At 43.8% G+C, this 20,132-nt stretch overlaps 1 protein-coding gene across 3 annotated transcripts in view; it reads right to left on the bottom strand.

The window, feature by feature from the left end:
• Positions 1-20,132, bottom strand: part of FARP1 (FERM, ARH/RhoGEF and pleckstrin domain protein 1) — a 312,588-nt gene that overhangs the window by 198,484 nt on the left and 93,972 nt on the right. The window contains exon 3 of one of the 3 annotated variants that reach the window (NM_001001715.4): positions 11,389-12,202. The exons of the other annotated variants lie outside the window; for them this stretch is intronic. Coding sequence (NP_001001715.2) covers positions 11,984-12,202 — 219 coding nt within the window. The 3' untranslated portion in view covers positions 11,389-11,983. Of the gene's footprint in view, positions 1-11,388; positions 12,203-20,132 lie in introns of those variants that run through there. 3 annotated transcript variants of the gene reach the window in all.

The raw sequence follows: 20,132 nt of genomic DNA, 5'->3' as shown, positions 1-20,132 counted from the left end.
AGCTGCTCGGGAGGCCAAAGCACAAGAATCACTTGAACCTGGGAGGTGGAGGTTGCAGTGAACTGAGATCACGCCACTGCACTCCAGCCTGGGTGACAGAGTGAAACTCTGTCTCCAAAAAAAAGAAAAAAAAAAAAAGTGGTAAGATGCACATAACACAAAAATTTACCATTTTTAAAGGTACAGACCAATAACATTAAGCACACTTGTCACAGTGGTGCAGCCATCACCACCATCCTCTCTAGAACATCTTCATCTGGCAAAACTAACTGTGTATCCATTAAACGACTCCCATTTTCCCCTCTCCCCTGCCTCTGATAACCACCATTCTTCTCCCCATCGCACATATATTTCACAGATCTCACTTAATTTCATGAATTCAGAATTGATAACTTTTTTAAAAACCTCGAATTTTAAATACTGATTCATTACCTAAAATACAGCACAACGTCCCTATTCACTTTCATTCCTAACAAATGTTTATCAACATTTTAATACCTGTATAGAATGATGAACCGTAACTTAGGTGGACCTATGATTTTCTTTGATCATTAACCACACTTTCACGAACATCTTTGGATGGGCATTTCATTTCTACCGGCTCTGTAAGAGCACCTCCTAGAAGCGAACCTGCTGGAACAAAGCTGTGCACATTCTTAAGATTTTTGACCAGTTGCCAAATGGCCCACCAGAAGGGTTGTTGCTTTAACGTTTACTGGTGTTTCTAATGTTCAGACAGATTGTTCTGGATTTGGGGGCTGGGAAGGGAGGCTGACTGCGCACACAATGGCCTACAGTTCCAGCTACATGTTTCTACTACGCTTCCTTTTCTTGCAGTCATAAGAGAACTTCCCACATGAGCTCTGCCTGACATACAGTACAAGAAATCCACAAAGGTCAAGCACAGTCATGAGCTAGGAATCAGATTTCCAAAAGGGTCTCTGTTTTATTAAGAAAGTTGAAGGTATGATCTTAGCCTTTGCTAACTTTTAAATCTGCTAGGTAGGGGAACTATAAAAAAGACAAACAAAATATATTTTCCATCTTATGCATATTACTAACATCTTTCAAAACCAACCCATGAAGGCAAATACAATTAAAAAGAGCATTGTTTCATAATATTTTAAGGTATCGGCAAAACACTGTATTTCACAACACAGCAACCACTAGTTTTTGTTTTTGTTTTTTTTTTGAGATGAAGTCTCACTCTGTTGCCCGGGCTTGAGTGCAGTGGCGCAATCTCGGCTCACTGCAAGCTTCGCGTCCTGGGTTCACGCCATTCTCCTGCCTCAGCCTCCCGAGTAGCTGGGACTACAGGCGCCTGCCACCATGCCCGGCTATTTTTTTTTCTATTTTTAGTAGAGACGGGGTTTCACCATGTTAGCCAGGATGGTCTCGATCTCCTGACCTTGTGATCCGCCCGCCTCCACCTCCCAAAGTGCTGGGATTACAGGCGTGAGCCACCGTGCCCGGCCACAGCAACCACTTTTACATTTACAAGAAAAATGCCAGTTTAACAACACTGCCTACAATTTTTTTGTCTTGGCTATTCATTGAGCTTATCTGAAGGTGGCCAAAGGGGCCCTAAAAAGAGACCTCCCTCCCTACTGTTGTTTTACCCAAAATCTCATTTCTCAAATGAAGCCACATTCTCAGGTTATGGAAGTTCATTGTTTCACAAATTGCTCCTACAAGTAAAAAATTCTTCCTTTGTTTTTCAATGCAAAATAACCTTTAAAAAAAAAAAGAGGAAGATGCCACAAAAGGATCTTGTAGTAAATATGTCTTTTTCTTTGCCCCAGCTACAGCCAAGCTAGTGGTTCTTCTCCATGAAATGGTTCCTGAATATCCCATCATTGCTTTCCCATTCCCCCACTGCCATTGGTTATACTAACATATGTTTTCATTTATAGCATCATGGACATTCTCTAGACAGTCAGTCTGTTGAAAAGAAATTAATCCCAGCAGTGAGCTCAGATCCTGAATTCTCAGCAGTTTCTTGTGAATTCATGGCTAGGCTATTTCTGCTGAGGCTGAATCTGAATGTGTAAACAGCTGGCCAGGCTACACCGCCATGCATTTGGCTTAAATCACATTCTGCACCTACAGCAACACAGGCAGAAGGATACACTTCTCATCAGTAGACTCTCCACAAATACAACAGACACAATTCTTCGTGCTCATGATCACTGGGATAGAATACCCACTTTTTATTGAGCACCTACTAGATGCCCAAAACTGTCTGATCATTTTACATGTGTTATCTAGTCATTTTGCAGGCACCATTATTAACACACAAGGAGAGAGATACTATTCTCATCCACACTTTACAGATGATATAACTGGCACTCACTAAAGTTAAGAAATTTGTTCAGAATCCCATAGTTTTTAAGAGCGGAGCTAAGAATTAAACTGTCATCTCTCTTCAACTTCAACCTCAAAATCCAAAAATGACACAAACACCAATAATGGCATGTATTAGTGCATCATTATGAGATGAGTATTTGGGAACAAGTGAGGAGAACACTTAGTACTTTTCAGGGACACCCACACACTACCGACTGCCCGCTCAGATTATCACTTTGCCCGGAAACTCAGAGGTCCCATAATGATGGGCAAATGAGTTGGGGTGGTCTCAGAACCCTGAAATGATCACATGCATCAGAAGTACAGAGTGGTATTTTCAAAGCTGTATATAACTATGCGATGAGCCCCACTTTGTGTTATGAAGAGCCAAAACTGCCCATCAGTTTGTTCCAAACCCCACATGGAAAGCATGCATGAAAACTGTCATACACACACAAACAAGACAGTGGATTCTGACCTCAAACCCAGAAATTCTGCCTCCACCCAGGGCGCTCTTCATTACAGCAAACCTAAAACTAACCACATGGCCCAGTTTCCATGAAATGTTTGCTATGAACTGATGCAGCAACTATAAAATAAAAGGCCAAGAGCAGAGCACATCTGGCTGGAAACATCTGGGCTGGAAACCGAGCTCAACGATGACTTAGCGGTGCGACCTTGGATGAACGCAGCAAAGCCCACAGCAGTCTACACTTCCTACTTTGTAAGTGATGTGTTGTTATAAATACATCATCTCGCTTAATCCTCACAACCACCTTTTGAGGTGGAGACCATCATCCTCATTTCACAAATGGTGAAACCCAGGCCATAGTTTAAAAGTGGCAGAGGCAGGCAGGGTCCAAATCCAGTTTTTGTCTCACATCAAAGTCTTTGATCTGAGTCTCAGTTTCTTCACTGATAAGCCAGATTGGGATATCTGACTCATGCGGTTGCTATGGGCATTTCCTGCGAGAGCATCAGGAAAATCCTCTGCAACAGCACTCAGTCAACGGCAGCTACTGAGACTTTTATTACCAATCACTGGCGTCATCTTCTGCAGCCCCAGCAGTGGGTTAAGAGAAATAAAAGGCTAAACTCAGGACTACTTGCCAACAAGCATTTAACAGCATTCCTTAATGCTTCAGATTAATTTTCATCTCCCTCAACACCCTTTTTAAAGATCAGAAACTTAACATTTTTCCTTGCTGGACAAACTTGGCTTGAACATTGCTTTCGTCGCAGACTAAATCAACATACAGCTATTAATGCACCACACTCCCTACTTTGAGTATGGGTGCCACCAAGGTTCTCTCCAACCTTTGGAATTCTACGCAGTCATAGCTAAGTAGCTAGTTTTGTTTTGATAAAAGCTACTTTAAAATCTCAGGGGCCTATGCTTGCCAAAATCAAGTTGAAAAATGTTGGTGTCAAACAATTTGGAAGTATTTTTCTAAAAATAACACCCTGAGAATCTGAGGCAGATATATTTTCCTCTGAAGTATACATGATCACCGGGGCTCACTGGGTCGCTGACTTGAATGTTAGAGCAGGATAATAGATAATCTTCCTTAAAGAACAACACTGGACACTTTCTTTGACATTGACTTACATCCAATTTCAGGTCCTGGGAAGGCACAGGCAACTAAGTGGGTGGGTATTAAAGACAAAGGTCTTCAATAAATGTTTAAAGAACACAGTACAGAGATACCTGGCATTTTGGAGGGCACATTCTACAGCAGCCTGTGAGAGGAAATCTCAGCATTTGGTAGCATCCATGAGGGTCAAGCCAGACCATCTGCCACCAGGGCACTCCTGTCCATTAGCTGGGCCATTGTTGGCTTGTCTTTGAGGTACAAGTCAAAGTAATGTGAAAAAGTCATCTTCACTCTGTGTTGGGGTCGGTTTTAATTTTAATAAATGAAAATATGCAGGTAATGAACGTTCTATTGAACCTACCCAAGAACATGAATGTGAACCTGACAAGAGCCACGCTGAAGTCTTAAAGTTATTGAGTCACATCACATGCACTGATATTCTTTTAGTCTTATGAGTCTCACATTGAATAGTCAGGAAGTCTGAACAGTCAAAATGCAAATGGGCATTTTGAAAAATTCATCTGATAATAAAGTCATTATAACTCTAATCTCCTAATATGCTAATATAATACATATTATTAACATTGTTGTTAAATACATATATAGGTGGGCACGGTGGCTCACGCCTGTAATCCCAGCACTTTGGGAGGCCGAAGAGGGCAGATCACTTGAAGTCAGGAGTTTGAGACCAGGTTGGCCAACATAGTGAAACCCTGTCTCTACTAAAAATACAAAAAATAACCGGGCATGGTGGCAGGATCCTGCAATCCCAGCTCTTCAGGAGGCTGACGCAGGAGAATCGCTTGGACCCAGGAGGCGGAGACTGCATTGAGCCAAGATTGCGTCACTGCACACCCTGGGCAACAGAGTGAATGAGACACCATCTCAAAATACACACATACATACATACATACAATTAGCTATATTACTATCCAATCTGCTATCTTTTTATGGTTTATCATGGACTTTATCAAATTGCGTGATGCCAACAGGTGATGCTGGAGGGCTTTGGTAGTTGTTTGTCCTCCCTCTTCCCTAATGGGGACTTTTTTTTCTTTTTTTTTTTTTTGAGATGGAGTCTCACTCTGTCACTCAGGCTGGAGTGCAATGGCGTGATCTCAGCTTACTGCAACCTCCACCTCCCGGGTTCAAGCCATTCTCCTGCCTCAGCCTCCCAAGTAGCTGGGATTACAGGTGTGCGCCACCATGCCCAGCTAATTTTTGTATTTTTAGTAGAGGTGGGGTTTCACCATGTTGGCCAGGCTGGCCTCAAATTCCTGACCTCAAGTGATCCACCCGCCTCAGCCTCCCAAAGTGCTGGGATTACAGGCGTAAGAATACCATGCCCGGCCCCCAGTGGGGACTTTCTATTAAGCAAATAAAGTCGTCTATATCTCTTGCATAAAACCATCCTGAGAGTGCACAGGGCCTAGAATCCTAGACAAGGAGGCAGAAGATATGAACTGTGGCCCCGCCTTAGCCACCGTCTAACTGAATGAACTTGGACAAAGCACCTGTTTGAGCCTCACTTCTTTCTTTGAGAAATGGGCATCCAGGTCTTCCAGTTCTAACAGCTGTCCACTTAACTTCATGGTTCAACAATAAGATTTAATATTCTTTATGATTCAAATGTACACACATGTATGTGCCTTATTCATATATTAGAAATCGTCATTTTTCTAAGAATAAACATATTTATGTATTCACAAGTTCATAAACATCTATGAAGTCCCTGCTATGTGCCAAGCACTGTGCTCGAGCCTAGGACAGATCAAAGACCAGGGGCCACACAATCCCTCTCCTTACAGCTAAGTGGGGAAGACAGGCACTGAACCAGTAATTTACAAACCAAATCATGCAGTGGTTTAGAATTACACACATGTGTTAAACTATAAAAAGAGGCAGATGAGTGACCAACACAGAATTTAGGCTGGGATTACTTCTTAAGGGATGGGGGTTAAAAGTCTTCAGAGAGTGGCCCATACTGGTAGTGTTATATATTTTTTTCTTTTTCCTTTTCTTTTTTTTTTTGAGACAGAGTCTTGCTCTGTCGCCCAGGCTAGAGTGCAGTGGTGTGATCTCGGCTCACTGCAACCTCTGCCTCTCGGGTTCAAGCGATTCTCCTGCCTCAGCCTCCCAAGTAGCTGGGATTACAGGCACCTGCCACCATGCCCAGCTAATTTTTGTATTTTTAGCAGAGATGGGGTTTCACCATGTTAGCCACGCTGGTCTCAAACTCTTGACCTCGTGATCCACCCGCCTCGGCCTCCCAAAGTGCTGGGATTATAAGTGTGAGCCACCGTGCCCGGCCCTCATATTTTTATTTGTTAAACTATACTTACACTTTTTATAGCCTCTTTTGTAAATATGCCATATTTCACAATTTAAAGTTTTGACAGATTATGTGAGAAAGAAACAAATCATGTACAAACCCAAAAGACTGGCATTATTGTACCTTTCTTTAGAACCTAAACCATTCAAAACACATATGGTTTCAGATTTTAACATCATTATTTTGTGACTTGAGATGGCATTTTAAAGAATGACAGACTCAGTTTTGCAGGTTTTTAAATCCCACATTTCTTTTCAAAGTGTCTGTGTTTCTCCGATTAAGTCACTGGGCCACCCCAATGTTTGGTGTTCAGAAATCATTGGTGAATCTCACGAGTAAATTTAAAGCGATGTATTTTCTCATACATATAAAATCATCTATTTTCTCTTTTATTAAATGCCTATCCTTTCCAAGGCTTAAAAGATTGAAAACTTAAAAATTAGGTTTTCAAAACAGGTCAACAATCTAAACCCTGATGAATTTTGAAGATTTCCAAAAGAAATTTGGGGAAGGAGCTGTCAAACATCGCATATGTAACTGAAGGGAGAGAGGTGGGGAACCAGACTGTTCATTTGCCCCTGGAATTTCATGTTGTCAATACCACCACGGGGAACCATCACTAAGAAACGGTATGGCCTCAGGTTTCCGTCTGTCTTTTTTCTTCTATAATGCTCAAAGACAGGTGTAAACACAAGGCCTGTGTGATATTTCTTTGGGAGATGTACATCTTGTTACCTTCCTGCCTCCCCGAGACATAGGCCTGAGTGACATTAATCATTCCAATAGCCAAACAATTTCTGTGTCATCAATGGGCCATTAGCTGGGTGAAGAACATGGTGGGGAAACACAAGACTTCTGCCAAAATATCTCTGTTGCCACAAGGAAAAAGTAAAACAGTAAGCAGACCAGAAGTTCTTTTTAATGATGTATTCCTCAAGCAAAAATCAGACCTCTTCCCTCAATAATGGGCTGTAACACTCTTGCAAAAAAGCGTCTATCTTACAAGAGTTTAAGTTCTTACCATGTCACATAAAAGAAGTATCGTATCATTAAAAATTTTATGTTCCCAAAAAAGTTCACCAAGTACATTAACAAGGAGCTATACTTGCAATATTTCCAAAGGCAAAGTTGTAACAGTAAAATAATTCAATTAAAGCATCACAAAAGATACCTGAAAATTCCTATTCGTCTAAATGAGCACCCATGGGTGCTCACTTAGTTGAAATACAGTCGATTCTCATTATTTGCTGTAGTTGCACTCTACATGGTCACCACTGAACTAGGGAACACTGAACTGTTGCGTCTAGGAGAAATACAAGATTAGATTCTGAGATCTTCTGTCATATTCTCATCAACTGAACAATATAAATTTGTTTAATGTGTGTTTCTGTTAAAAGACACTTTACTTAATATACACTGTTGACTCATTAATGTTGAATTAATGGCCAGTAAGTAGCACTAGAACTTATGCCTAAATGAAGCTTCCCTAACACCCGTTTTCTCTGTAAGGCACATTCTCAGCCTTCTTGCGCTCAGGAACCCTGGACAGTGCTTCTAGCACTACACTTCAGAGCCATTTTAAACAGTGAAATCACCAACAAAAAGCACGAAAACGCAAACAAATCACGGCACTAACTAGATCATCAAAAAGGCACCTGTTTCCAGCGCGAGAGCTGAGACAAGAAGGCAGACCCTCATTTGAGTTCAGCTGAGAATGTGCACATTGGGCAACTCACATTTTTCTGTAATCCTGGGCAGGTCCACAAATGACCAGGAAAGCACCACAAGCTTGATTTGGGGACTACAAATTTTAGGGAGTAGGTGGATTCACAAATACGGAATCCATGAAGAATGTGTTATCCAGTGTGGTAAGGACTCAGCATATCCTAGATTTAACATTAATATCCAAAAGTATTTCTGAAGCTTCTCATGATTTCTTAAAACATGAGACATTTTGTTTCCTGACACTATCCCATCCTATAAAAGGATACTGTATTATGTCTATGGCCACAGGAAAATACCTTGGGGAAGCCCTCTACCCGGGGAGAAACAGCTCACATCACTGCTAGGAGGTATCTCCTTACCCCTCCCTCTACCCTCAGTGTCCCTGAGTCCACTATTAAATCTCATTCCACCCAAATACAGTAGAAAAGAGTTCAAAAATCACAGAATATTTCAGAGAGAACTGGTTCACTATTTTTCTAGGTACTGCAAAATCTATCCTTTACTCATGCCAGATATTAGACAGAGGTGTCATTGGCCCATTTCTCTCATTAGAGTTGCTGTTTGCTGGGCTGGACGGGATTGCACCCATTGGCCTGTTTGGGAAGACAGGTCCGAGGTACCCGCCTCTCTGATGCTGAGAGAGGCTGCGAAGGTTTTTGTTCATAAAATTTGTTTCCTTCTTGGACCCTTGGCAGAGATGTGTTTCTGGTCTTAGTGTCAGGAATCTGCGACTCTTCTGAGAACTGGTTTATTCTTATCATACGACTGCTGATCAAGTGTCCAGCATTCAATACACAGCTCTTCACAAGGATCGCTGGAAGCTGATGACCACATCCGTGGCTTGGTGGCATTCACTTTGTGAAGAGGCCTCCTTCTGGATGCTGCGGACATCTTGCCCCTGTTCTCTGTTTCTGTTTGCCTGGACTTTCTTATCGGCTCCCAATCCGCATCATCTACACTCTGGCTCCTCGTGAACTGCCTGGAATCCGTTGAAGGTGGAAGCTGGGGTCAACCTACCAACCTTTGCTCACCTTCCTAACTTTCTCTGGGAAAGGTTCCTCCCCTGCCCTGGATCCCAGCAGAGCCCTGAGCTCACTGTCTGTTGTATCCTTCTCCGTCTTCCCTCCTCCCATGTTAGTTCAAATAGCTCTCTCTGTTTCACACCACCTGTCCTCCCAGTGAGCTCCACTCCCCCAGCAGGGCTGCGGGGATGGATAGCCCAGCCAGTCATACTGGGGTGTCTGTCTGCGTTAGTGACCCGGCCTGGTCATTTAGAGCTTAGTGTGACTTTCTTAAAGGGCAGTTAAAGAACTCTATGTGGGGGCCAAAGTGGGCCCAGCCAGGGGTGTGGAAGGCTGCACACCACCAACAGAGTACACACCCTGGGCGTGACACTATTGGTAGATGGCACGCATCGTCTTCTAGGTGTAGAAAGGAACAGCTACTTTTTTTTTGGAGACAGAGTCTCACCGCCACCCAGTCTGGAGTGCAGTGGTGCGATCTCAGCTCACTGCAACCTCCGCCTCCTGGGTTCCAGTGATTCTTCTGCCTCAGCCTCCCGAATAGCTGGGATTACAGGCATGCGGGTTACAGGCATGCGCCATCACGCCCAGTTAACTTTTGTATTTTTAGTAGAGACGTGGTTTCACCATGTTGGCCAGGCTGGGTCTTGAACCCCTGACCTCAGGTGATCCGTCCACCTTGGCCTCCCAAAGTGCTGGGATTACAGGCGTGAGCAACTGTGCCCCGCCAAGGAACAGCTGCCTTCTTAAACACAGGAGTTCCAGCCCTCGGTTCTGTGTAGACGGTTGTATGCAGGAAGTGCACAGGCAGAATCCATGGGCTCAAGGAACAGCTGGATTTTTTAAAGCTAATTAACAATGTTCCATTTCAGGGCTCTGGGTAGAAAGCTCTGACAAAGCCACTGTTCACTAACGTGCTGTGTGCTTAGTGATGTCATTCTGTTTGTGGTGTAAGTACCTGGTTAAAATTAAGCTTTTCTAAATGCCTCCCTTATAGCATTGTTTCAGTACCCAGGACTAAGAACTTTGAGCTTTTTAGATTATCCCCAGAGGAGAAGGAGGGAGTATAGTATGTAAACACACACACACAACACTCACAAACACACAGGCACACAAGCAAGCACACACACACCACTTATTTTGAGACTCTAACAATGAAAACTGACAACCATGTTTCCTAGACAAAAACTATAGACTCTAATTTTTTTTTAAGTTACAAGAATCAGAAGACTAAGCTTATTTTTGCTGATCTACAGATGAGAATTAAGAATTTATCTCGGGGCTGGGCGCGGTGGCTCACGCCTGTAATCCCAGCACTTTGGGAGGCCGAGGCGGGGATCACGAGGTCAGGAGATCGAGACCATCCTGGCTAACACGGTGAAACCCCGTCTCTACTAAAAATACAAAAAATTAGCCGGGCGAGGTGGCGGGCGCCTGTAGTCCTAGCTACTCGGGAGGCTGAGGCAGGAGAATGGCGTGAACCCCAGGGGGCGGAGCCTGCAGTGAGCCGAGATTGCGCCACTGCACTCCAGCCTGGGTGACAGCGAGACTCCGTCTCAAAAAAAAAAAAAAAAAAAAAAAAAAAGAATTTATCTCGGCCGGGCGCAGTGGCTCACACCTGTAATCCCAACACTTTGGGAGGCTGAGGGGGGCAGATTGCCTGAGCTCATGAATTCGAGACCAGCCTGGGCAACACGGTGAAACCTCGTCTCTACTAAAATATAAAAAGTTGGCTGGGCATGGTGGCGTGGCGGCGTGCATCTGTAGTCCCAGCTACCCGGGAGGCTGAGGCAGGAGAATTGCTTGAACCCGGGAGGCGGAGGTTGCTGTGAGCCGAGATCGCACCACTGCACTCCAGCCTGGGTGACAGAGTGAGACTCCCTCTCCAAATAAAAAAAAGAATTTATCTCAAAAATCCTAAGAATGGGATACATTTCTGCATTTTCTGTGCTGCTCGAAATTGTTACTGTAAGTAACCATGTAACACCTTTGTAACACAAAACAAGTTCTTCTTCTAAAGAATAGTTCTATTAACCCAAAAAGATTCCTCTTGTATTAATAATGAAATACACATCTGCTATTCTATCTAGCTCAGGCTTGATCATCCACTTCCTTTAGGAAGGAAAACTGGGGGAGGCTTTTTAAAAATTAAGCTTTGCGTTTACACAAGTAGAAAATGCCTCCTGTGTCACTCTAATTGTTTCAATTAAAGTACTCACTTCGTATTACTTAGTTGCTGCAGTGTATGATTTTGTCACATAAAACACTGAACATGGGAGCTGAAAATCTGTTTTCTCATTAAAATCAACTGTTCTCACATAAACATCCCACAAAGTGCTTATCAATAAGCTGGTAAGACAAACATGTATTAAAGTAGATCTGACTTTATTCGCCTTTCTAAATGGCTTTACAATTAACAATCCATTCTTTGAATAAAAAAGTTACACAAAAATTACTGTAGATTTCTCAGAACACAGTAATATGGTAAATGAGGTACTCCTTTTAAAAACTAAACCCTTTCAGGAATTAAACTTCAGCAATTCCAGTTAACATTTAAAAACTAAAGAATCTAATTAAGAGACCACTCAGGAAAGGAAGATGGTTTTTAACTTCTGCACTAGCAATAAACCAAATCCCTCTCTTTGGTCTAATTTATGGCTGGAATAGAAATGAATCTTCCCCTAGTGGCAAACAACCCACAGCAGAAAAGCTGTATTGCTTCCCTTTAAGAGGCACCAAATCTAGTAGATCAAACCAAGCCTCCTGGAGACCCGTTTAGGAGTGGATGGGCCCCTCTGTATGCAGCTTCACGTATCTGAGATCACATCTGTATCTACTCCTACCCAGCAGAAAAATCACTTATTGGGCACTGAAATGTGTTAATGTCACCTTTGAATTTAACTCTGGCCATTGCCAATCAATTTCTTTGAATGAAATAATGAAACAGGACTTCAAGTCCTGACTCAAAAAAGATTAAGAAGCTCTTCAGTGACTGTGACCGCTAAGCTTCTACTTCCAGCCCAGTTTGTGTAAGAAATAGAGCCTGTAAGATGAGTGAGAATTCTGTCCTCTCCAAACTTCTCAATTAGATGTGAATGGTGCTTGGGCTTCATGGAGCATCTCAGTACCCAACCCGTCCAGGAGGAGCCGGTGGCTTTGAGGAAGGAGGATGAGGACACCATCTGGGAAGAGAGGAGAGCAAATGCTACTCCCTTGAAAAGGCGCTTTTTGTTGTTGTTTTTTAAAAAACAGTAACAATAAAGAGACACAGCAAAGTTTTGGAAGTGATGGATATGTTTATTACCTTGACTGGGTGATGGTAACACCAGCCTATACTTATATCCAAACTCACCAAATTGTATACATTAGTTATGTACAATTTTTTATATACCAGATATATCTCAATAAAGCTAGGAAGTGGGGTAGAAAGGGTGTTTGCTGGGAAAACCAAAATGGCAATCAGCTAGGAATCTGGGATGGACTGTATTTTCATCACTAATTGTACCCAATTCTGTTCAACTTTAAAATTATGCAAAACTCTCCAGTGCTTACATGAATATATTCTCATTGAAAAGCCCTCTCTGAAATTTTAATGAAGTTCAAATGGCCCCAGAGAAATCTGCTCACTGATATTCCTTTTCAAGAGATTGCTTAGGAAAAAAAAAAATCTAGAAATAAGATGCTCAGGGGAGAAAACTTGCTTCCTTTGTAATTATTTTGTAATAGCACTATGAGTTTCACATATTTTAAAGAATTTGGCTTAAAATTACACTGAAATTCCACATGTACAGCAGGGAGTAAAAATTTAATACTCCTCTTGAAAAAGTCAACAGTGAATTGAACTTTAGGTCCAGTTTTTGTTACAAAATAACTGATAGTCAATACTACAATCTTTAACCCTGCTGGAAAAAAAGGGTGATTAATTACCTGAAAGGGCAATGCAAGTTATACAGATTTTTTTTTTTTTTTTTTTTTTGAGATGGAGTCTCTCTCTGTCGCCCAGGCTGGAGCGCAGTGGCACGATCTAGGCTCACTGCAACCTCCGCCTCCTGGGTTCAAGCAATTCTCTGTCTCAGCCTCCCAAGTAGCTGAGATTACAGGCGCCCACCACCACGCCCGGCTAATTTTTTTTTTTATTTTTAGTAGAGACAGGGTTTCACTATCTTGGCCAAGTTCATCTTGAACTCCTGACCTCGTGATCCACCCCCCTCAGCCTTCCAAAGTGCTGGGATTACAGGCGTGAGCCACCGTGCCCGGCCATACAGATTCTTCTTAATCAACAGGACACAGAAGAAAAAGAAGTCTCTCTTCATAACTGACTTTCCATCCTACAGAGCTACATGCATTGAGACTGGCACACATTCCACAATGCACCACGCTTTGGTATATCTGAGACAGTCAAAGGAAATATTAAAATGAATGAACAAATTAACAGTTCAAAACCAAAGCCCAAATCTTAGTTTGGGAATCAACATCTTCCCAATATTATTAATTTTTTATGGCGTTGTGGCACCTTATTGTTAGTTTGATTTTACAGTATCACAGTAAGTAACACTGAAAAGAAAATCACTACTTACTGATTATAAGCCTGGGGAAAATGAACCACAGTTCCTCATGGAAACAGTAAAACCTTTCGACATAAAATACAGCAAGTCTGGAGAATGAACAGTAGGTCTTGGGGCAGAAATAGCAAAAAGTGAGCAGTGAAAGTACCTTTTCCCCTTTCTCTGAGCTAAATGCCTACAACCTAAGTTCTTCCCACAGAAAATGCAATCTGAAGACAGATGTTGAACCTTGTCTTATTAGTGAAAGACACAGATAATGTAGATACACATATTAAAATCTTATTCTCTTCCAAAATATATTTATACAACTAAAGATAAAATTAGCCTTTCAAAAGCTTTCATGCATTACAAAATATTCTTGAATAATTTTTTACTATGTTTTTCCATAGCCTTACATCTTTCAAAATTTTATATTAAGTCCAGATTTCTTTGAGACAGGGTCTTGCTCTGTTGCCCAGGCCGGAATGCAGTGGTACAATCTCAGCTCTGCAGCATCAACCTCCTTGGCTCAAGCAATCCTCCCATCTCAGCCTCCTAAGCAGCTGGGACTATAGGCACACAGCACCACACGTGGCTACCTTTTAAATTTTCTTTGTAGAGATGGAGGTCTCACTATGTTGCCCAGGCTGGTCTCGAACTCCTGGCCATAAGAGATCTTCTCACCTCGGCCTCACAAAGTGCTGGGATTACAGGCATAAGCCACTGCATCTGGCCCCAAATTTTTAAAAATCCTCTTTAGGATGAAAAATGATCCCCTCTGAAATAAGTTTCCTATTTAGCTAATGAATGTTGAGTGCTATTCCAGATAAAAGCATGGAGAAAAACAGTTTCCATAAGGTAGTAAACACTAACGGTCCCTACGGCCTCGAGGGAGGGGGAGTACGCTACGAACATTCATAGAAATATGTTTCTTTAATAGATCTCAAACAACACTTTCAGGGTGGTCCATCTAAACATAGGTTGTGTTTAATATAAAATGACTGCAAGCAGAGCCTGTCAATGCAAGACACATTGCTACATCTGTCACATAAAATAGAAAAACAAGCTGTACAGCAGAGGACCTGTCCATGGACCTCCCAGGCTCAAGCGATCCTCCCGGCTTAGCCTCCTGAGTAGCTGGGACTACAGGCACATACCACCGTGCCTGGTTAATTTTTTAAGTTTTGTTGTTGTTGTTGTTGCTGTTGTTTAGACAGAGTCTCAATCTGTCGCCCAGGCTGTTGTGCAGTGGCGCAATCTCGGCTCACTGCAACCTCCACCTCCTGGGTTCAAGCGATTCTCCTGCCTCAGCCTCCCAAGTAGCTGAGATCACAGGCATGCACCACCACGCTCAGCTAATTTTTGTATTTTTAGTAGAGATGGGGTTTCACCATGTTGACCAGGCTGGTCTCGAACCCCTGATGACCTCAGGTGATCCACCCACCTCAGCCTCCCAAAATGCTAGGATTACAGGCGTGAGCCACCACACCTGGCCAGTTTTTAAAGTTTTTTGTAGAGACGACATCTCACTATATTGCCCAGGCTGGTCTTGAGCTCCTGGCCTCAAGAGATCCTGCTGCCTGGGCCTCCCAAAGTGCTGGGATTACAGGCATGAGCCACCATGCCTGGCCCCATTTTTCTAAAAAGAGAAGCTTGCATTCTAGTCCAGATGTGCAGGACACGACCCTGCAGAGAGGTGGTCTCTTCCATGTGCCTGTTGTGGAGTCCACCCCATCGTGTGCAACATGCCGTATTTAAGGGCCTTGCCCATCAAAATGCCCCACACTCCCCTGGAGGTGCTTCTCAAAAGCTTCTGGGCCCCCAGCACATGCCGTCCACCTCCCCAGAAGCTCTCAGGCTCGTCCTGCCAGCAGCACCCCAAGGACCCTAGAACTCTGCCCGCCACACCCACAGCCTTCTTGAAAACTCCACTTAGACCTCACCTCTGGCAGAAACCACCTCATTCCTGACTCTTCCCAGGGCCAGTTTTTGCATTCCTTGGCACTTAAGAATTTCGTTCACCCCATACGACAGTCCCTTAAGTTTGCCCACTGTCTACACTCTCTTCTTCGACTGCCATGTGCGCGTGCTGGATTCGAATCTTCGCTAGGGCGGGGATTCTGCCTTCTGCCTTCCTTCTCCTGAGTCACCCACCAGAGTCCTGCTGTGCATCTCAAACAGCAGCTTCAGATCTTGTAACTCCTAGGAAGTCCAGGGCAAAGCTCAATGCCGGATCGTAAAGGAATGCCAGGTTTCCGGGTTCTACTAAAGCCTCTTGGTTCTGTCCTTCCCCGAAAGCCCTTCCCTGAGGCCTTCCCATCCTAAGATGTTCACGATGAAAACGCACTAGAACACGACACAAAACCAACCCACTCTCTCAGGTGTTATTTGTCAGTATGGTGATCTCGTGTTGAAATCACTGAAATTCTCATCCTCTCCCGACCAGTGAGATGACGTCCGCAGGCGGACCACCTCTCTAGACTCCAGTCTTGCTGGTCAGATGATTTCTTTTCCTTTTCATCTCAGCTCTAATGTTTTCTTTTTCTACCCAAAGCCCCAGACCATCCACCAACAAAGTATCTGGTACAGTTTCTCATAATGCTGTCAACTTGTCATAGAATGCAACCATCCTTCTCTGTTTGCCTGCCCCCAGTGCCCTGCACCTCCCTTCTTCTCTCAGAACAGCTGCCAGCAGGGAACAAAGTCAGGTTTCAATAAACTGGGAGCATCGCCGCATCCTCCCTTCCTGCCTGGGAAGGCCACTCCAACCGTCACCATCACCACGCAGGCAAGACTCCCACCAAGGCCAAAGCAGCTTGAGTTTCAAGGCCAGCACTCGCTGACCCCTCCAAGGCCTCAGATCTAATCATTCATTCGTCATCGCGTGTTCCTTTTCCAAAAGTCCCAAAAAACGTGCGTCTACCCTGAATCGGTTGTGCTAATAACTCATGCTTTAAGCAGCACAAGGCCCCAGCCACTGGCCACAGGCGTCCCTGGCCAAGGGTGACCCCGTGCAAGGGTAGAAGAGATGATCAAGGCCCCTCCAGTCCACAGGGCTAAAGGAAAGGGAGCTAAAGCCACCTCCCCTCCTGCCTCCTTCCCTCCTTGTGGAGGGATCACCACGGATATCACCTGCTCACTTCACTCTCGCTCTCTGGAGAAGAGAGGTAGCCGTCTTCCTGATGAAGTTACCTGCCCAGGTGTCTTTGGGCCCCTCCTCCTTCACCTGCTGGGAGGCAAACAATAGCAGCCCTTTCTCTCTCCTCTAGCACAGTCTGGACCAGCAGCCCCACCAGCAAGTCCAGGTGGGGCTCCCCGCTTGGAGCCAGAGAGTCACCTGCTCCCCAGAAGTCTCACCTGAGCACCCCCTCCCCGCTCATCTCCTCCGGGAGCAGCCCTTCAATAACCAATGCCACCCGCCACTCAGTGGCCCAGCCAGAAACCCAAGGGACCACCTCTCCCCACTGCCCCCAGGCCACTTGGTGCCTGCCATCCCTGCCTGAGGCCTGCTGGAGTCTCTAACAGCACTGCCTAATCCGGACCTCAGCCCCACTCATGCTGGAGATCAGTTCTTCAGCTCCAGCCATGTCTCCTCCCCCTCCACCCCTCACACCACTTAAAATGATTCCACAGTGTAGAAATCGTATGAAACAGCTAAAAATGCTGGATAAAATATAAACAACATCTTTGTCAACGCACTGCTGATCAAGCAAAACAGTAAGGAAACTCAGGCCCAAAGAGCTCCAATTGCAAGCACGCAATAAAGGGGCAGTGGAGCCAGTGTTTGCCCTGAGGGCCTTGGCTGAACCTGGATGTGGGCTCCAGTTTTTATGATGGGATGAGGGAGAGAAAACACAACCAGGGTCGGTCCAGGGTAGAGAACCTAATAGGAGACAGCTGCGTAAACCGGCACTTGTTCCCTTGGGGCTCCTTTCTCCATAGGGTAAGTATCTTAAGTGTTCAATATACTGAATGCTGGTGTTATTTCCCCACAACTGCAGTAAATCTTCAAAAATATGCTGAAAGTAGTCTGTAGATACATTAACCCATAAGGAAGTCCAATTCCCTGTGAGTTTTAACAGGTAAGACCCCATCCATACCACTAATCAGACTTTCCCAGGCAGGAAGTTGGGTTTTTCTCTAAAACAACAAAGGTAACGCATGCTAAGTGGGTTAGTTATTTTGCTACCTCAAGTACAGCTGGCCCTTGAACAATGTGGGGGTTGGCGCACAGACCCCCTCCACAGTCAAAAATCTGAGTAGAACTTTTGACTCCCCCAAAAATTAACTACTCATAGCCTATTGTTGACCTTATCAGTAACATAGCCAGTCAATGATATGGTTTGGCTGTGTCCCCACCCAAATCTCATCTCGAATTGTAGTTCCCATACTTCCCACATGTCCTGGGAAGGACTTGGTGGGAGGTAACTGAATCATGGGGGCAGGTCTTTCCTATGCTGTTCTCATGACAGTGAATAAGTCTCAGGAGATCAGATAGTTTTATAAAGGGGAGTTTCCCTGCACACTCTCTCTTTGCCTGCCACCACGTAAGACATGCCTTTCTCCTCCTTTGCCTTCTGCCATGATTGTGAGGCCTCCCCACCCATGTGGAACTGCGAGTCCAATAACCCTCTTTTTTTAATAAATTACCCAGTCTCAGATATGTCTTTATTAGCACCATGAGAACGGAATACAGTCGATTAACACATAATTTGTATGTGTATTATTACTGTATTCTTACAAAAAAGCTACAGACAAGAAAATGTTATTAAGAAAATCTGTTTACTAAGTGGAAGTGGATCATCATAAGGGTTCATCCTCAACAGCGTCACCTCAAGTGGGCTGAGGAGGAAGAGGAGGGGTTGGTCTTGCTGTCTCAAGGGCAGCAGAGACATCTGCATGAAAACCTGTTTCGCAGATATGCTTTCTCCTCTATGATTTTCCTGATGGCATCTGGGAACTCATCTACTGCCTCTTAGTCGGGAGAAGCTGCTTCTCCTGTCATCTTAACATTTTTTAAGTCAAACCTTTTTCTAAAATTATCAAACCATGCTTTTGCTGGCATGACATTCTCCAGCTTTAGATCCTTCACCTTCCTTTTGCCTTAAGTTTTCACTTTCCCCAAATCATATTATTAGAGTCTATAGGTATGACTTTCTTAGAGCAAGCCTGCACTCACATAAAAGCTGCATTTTCAATACAAGATAAAACAGCATTTCGCAAAAAGCACAAGGTTTTCAGACCTGCTGATGTAGCCATAGCGACCACTTGACTAATTTTTCTTTCTTTCTTTAAAAAAAAAATGGTCCTTATGCTAGATTCATTTATCTTGAAATGGTGGGCAACTGAAGCTGCAGTCCTCAATCTATGCTACATATCAAGCAATTCAACTTTTTCTTGTAATGACATGACTTTTCTCTGCTTCCTGAGAGCACTTCCAGAATCAATGGTGCCACTTCATACGGGTCCCATAGTGTCATTCAAAGTTTACAGTATTGCACTAAATGTGATGAAAAAATACGCAAGAACCACGAGTGATCACTTTTTACTGAGATAAGCAATTTAGTGGAGATGAACCGCTCATGACGGAGATGATCCACATTTGAAGCAGATACTAAAAACACTTGAGTTCACTGCAACAGCAACAGGAAGTGGCTATGAGACTGGGACAGTAGTATAGTGTTACTACAGTTAATTTCATGCAGTCATGATTTAATGCTGCATCTTTACATTTGTTTACATTTCTCTCAACTGCAATCGGTGCCACATACAGTCCGTCAGCGTTTGTGTAAGTTTTGATAAATTTTAACTTTTTTTTTTTTTTGAGACGGAGTTTCGATCTTGTTGCCCAGGCTGGAGTACAATGGCGTGATCTCAGCTCACTCCAACCTCCGCATCCCAGGTTCAAGCGATTCTCCTGCCTCAGCCTCCCGAGTACCTGGGATTATAGGCACCCACCACCATGCCCGGCAAATTTTGTATTTTTAGTAGAGATGGGTTTTCGCCATGTTGGTCAGGCTGGTCTTGAACTCCTGACTTCAAGTGATCCACCTGCCTCAGCCTCCCAAAATGCTGGGATTACAGACATGAGCCACACGCGCCCGGCCTAAATTTTAACGTTTTCTTTTTTTCCCCCTGAGACAGAGTCTTGCTCTGTTGCCCAGGCTGGAGTGCAATGGCGCAGTCTTGGCTCATGGCAGCCTCCACCTCCTGGGTTTAAGTGATTCTTCTGCCTCAGCCTCCGGAGTAGCTGGGATTACAGGCGTGTGCCACCACGCCTGGCGAATTTATTTTTGTATTTTTAGTAGAGATGGGGTTTCACCAAGTTGGCCAGGCTGGTCTCAAACTCCTGACCTCGTGACCCACCTGCCTTGGCTTCCCAAAGTACTAACATTACAGGCGTGAGCCACCACGCCTGGCAAATTTTAACTTTCTGTAATAGATCTGTGTTCATTTTATGGTAGTAAATGATAAAATAGACTACCAACATATATTTTATATATTCATGACATATCTCACTTTCTTAATTTTTTTATTTCTTGGCTATGAGGTTCATCTGTTTTTTTCA

The sequence above is a fragment of the Homo sapiens genome, chromosome 13 (genome assembly GCF_000001405.40).
Source record: "Homo sapiens chromosome 13, GRCh38.p14 Primary Assembly".
Classification (NCBI taxonomy): Eukaryota; Metazoa; Chordata; class Mammalia; order Primates; family Hominidae; genus Homo; species Homo sapiens.
The sequence above is the reverse complement of the archived record's forward strand: the minus strand, read 5'-3'. Positions and strand labels throughout refer to the sequence as shown.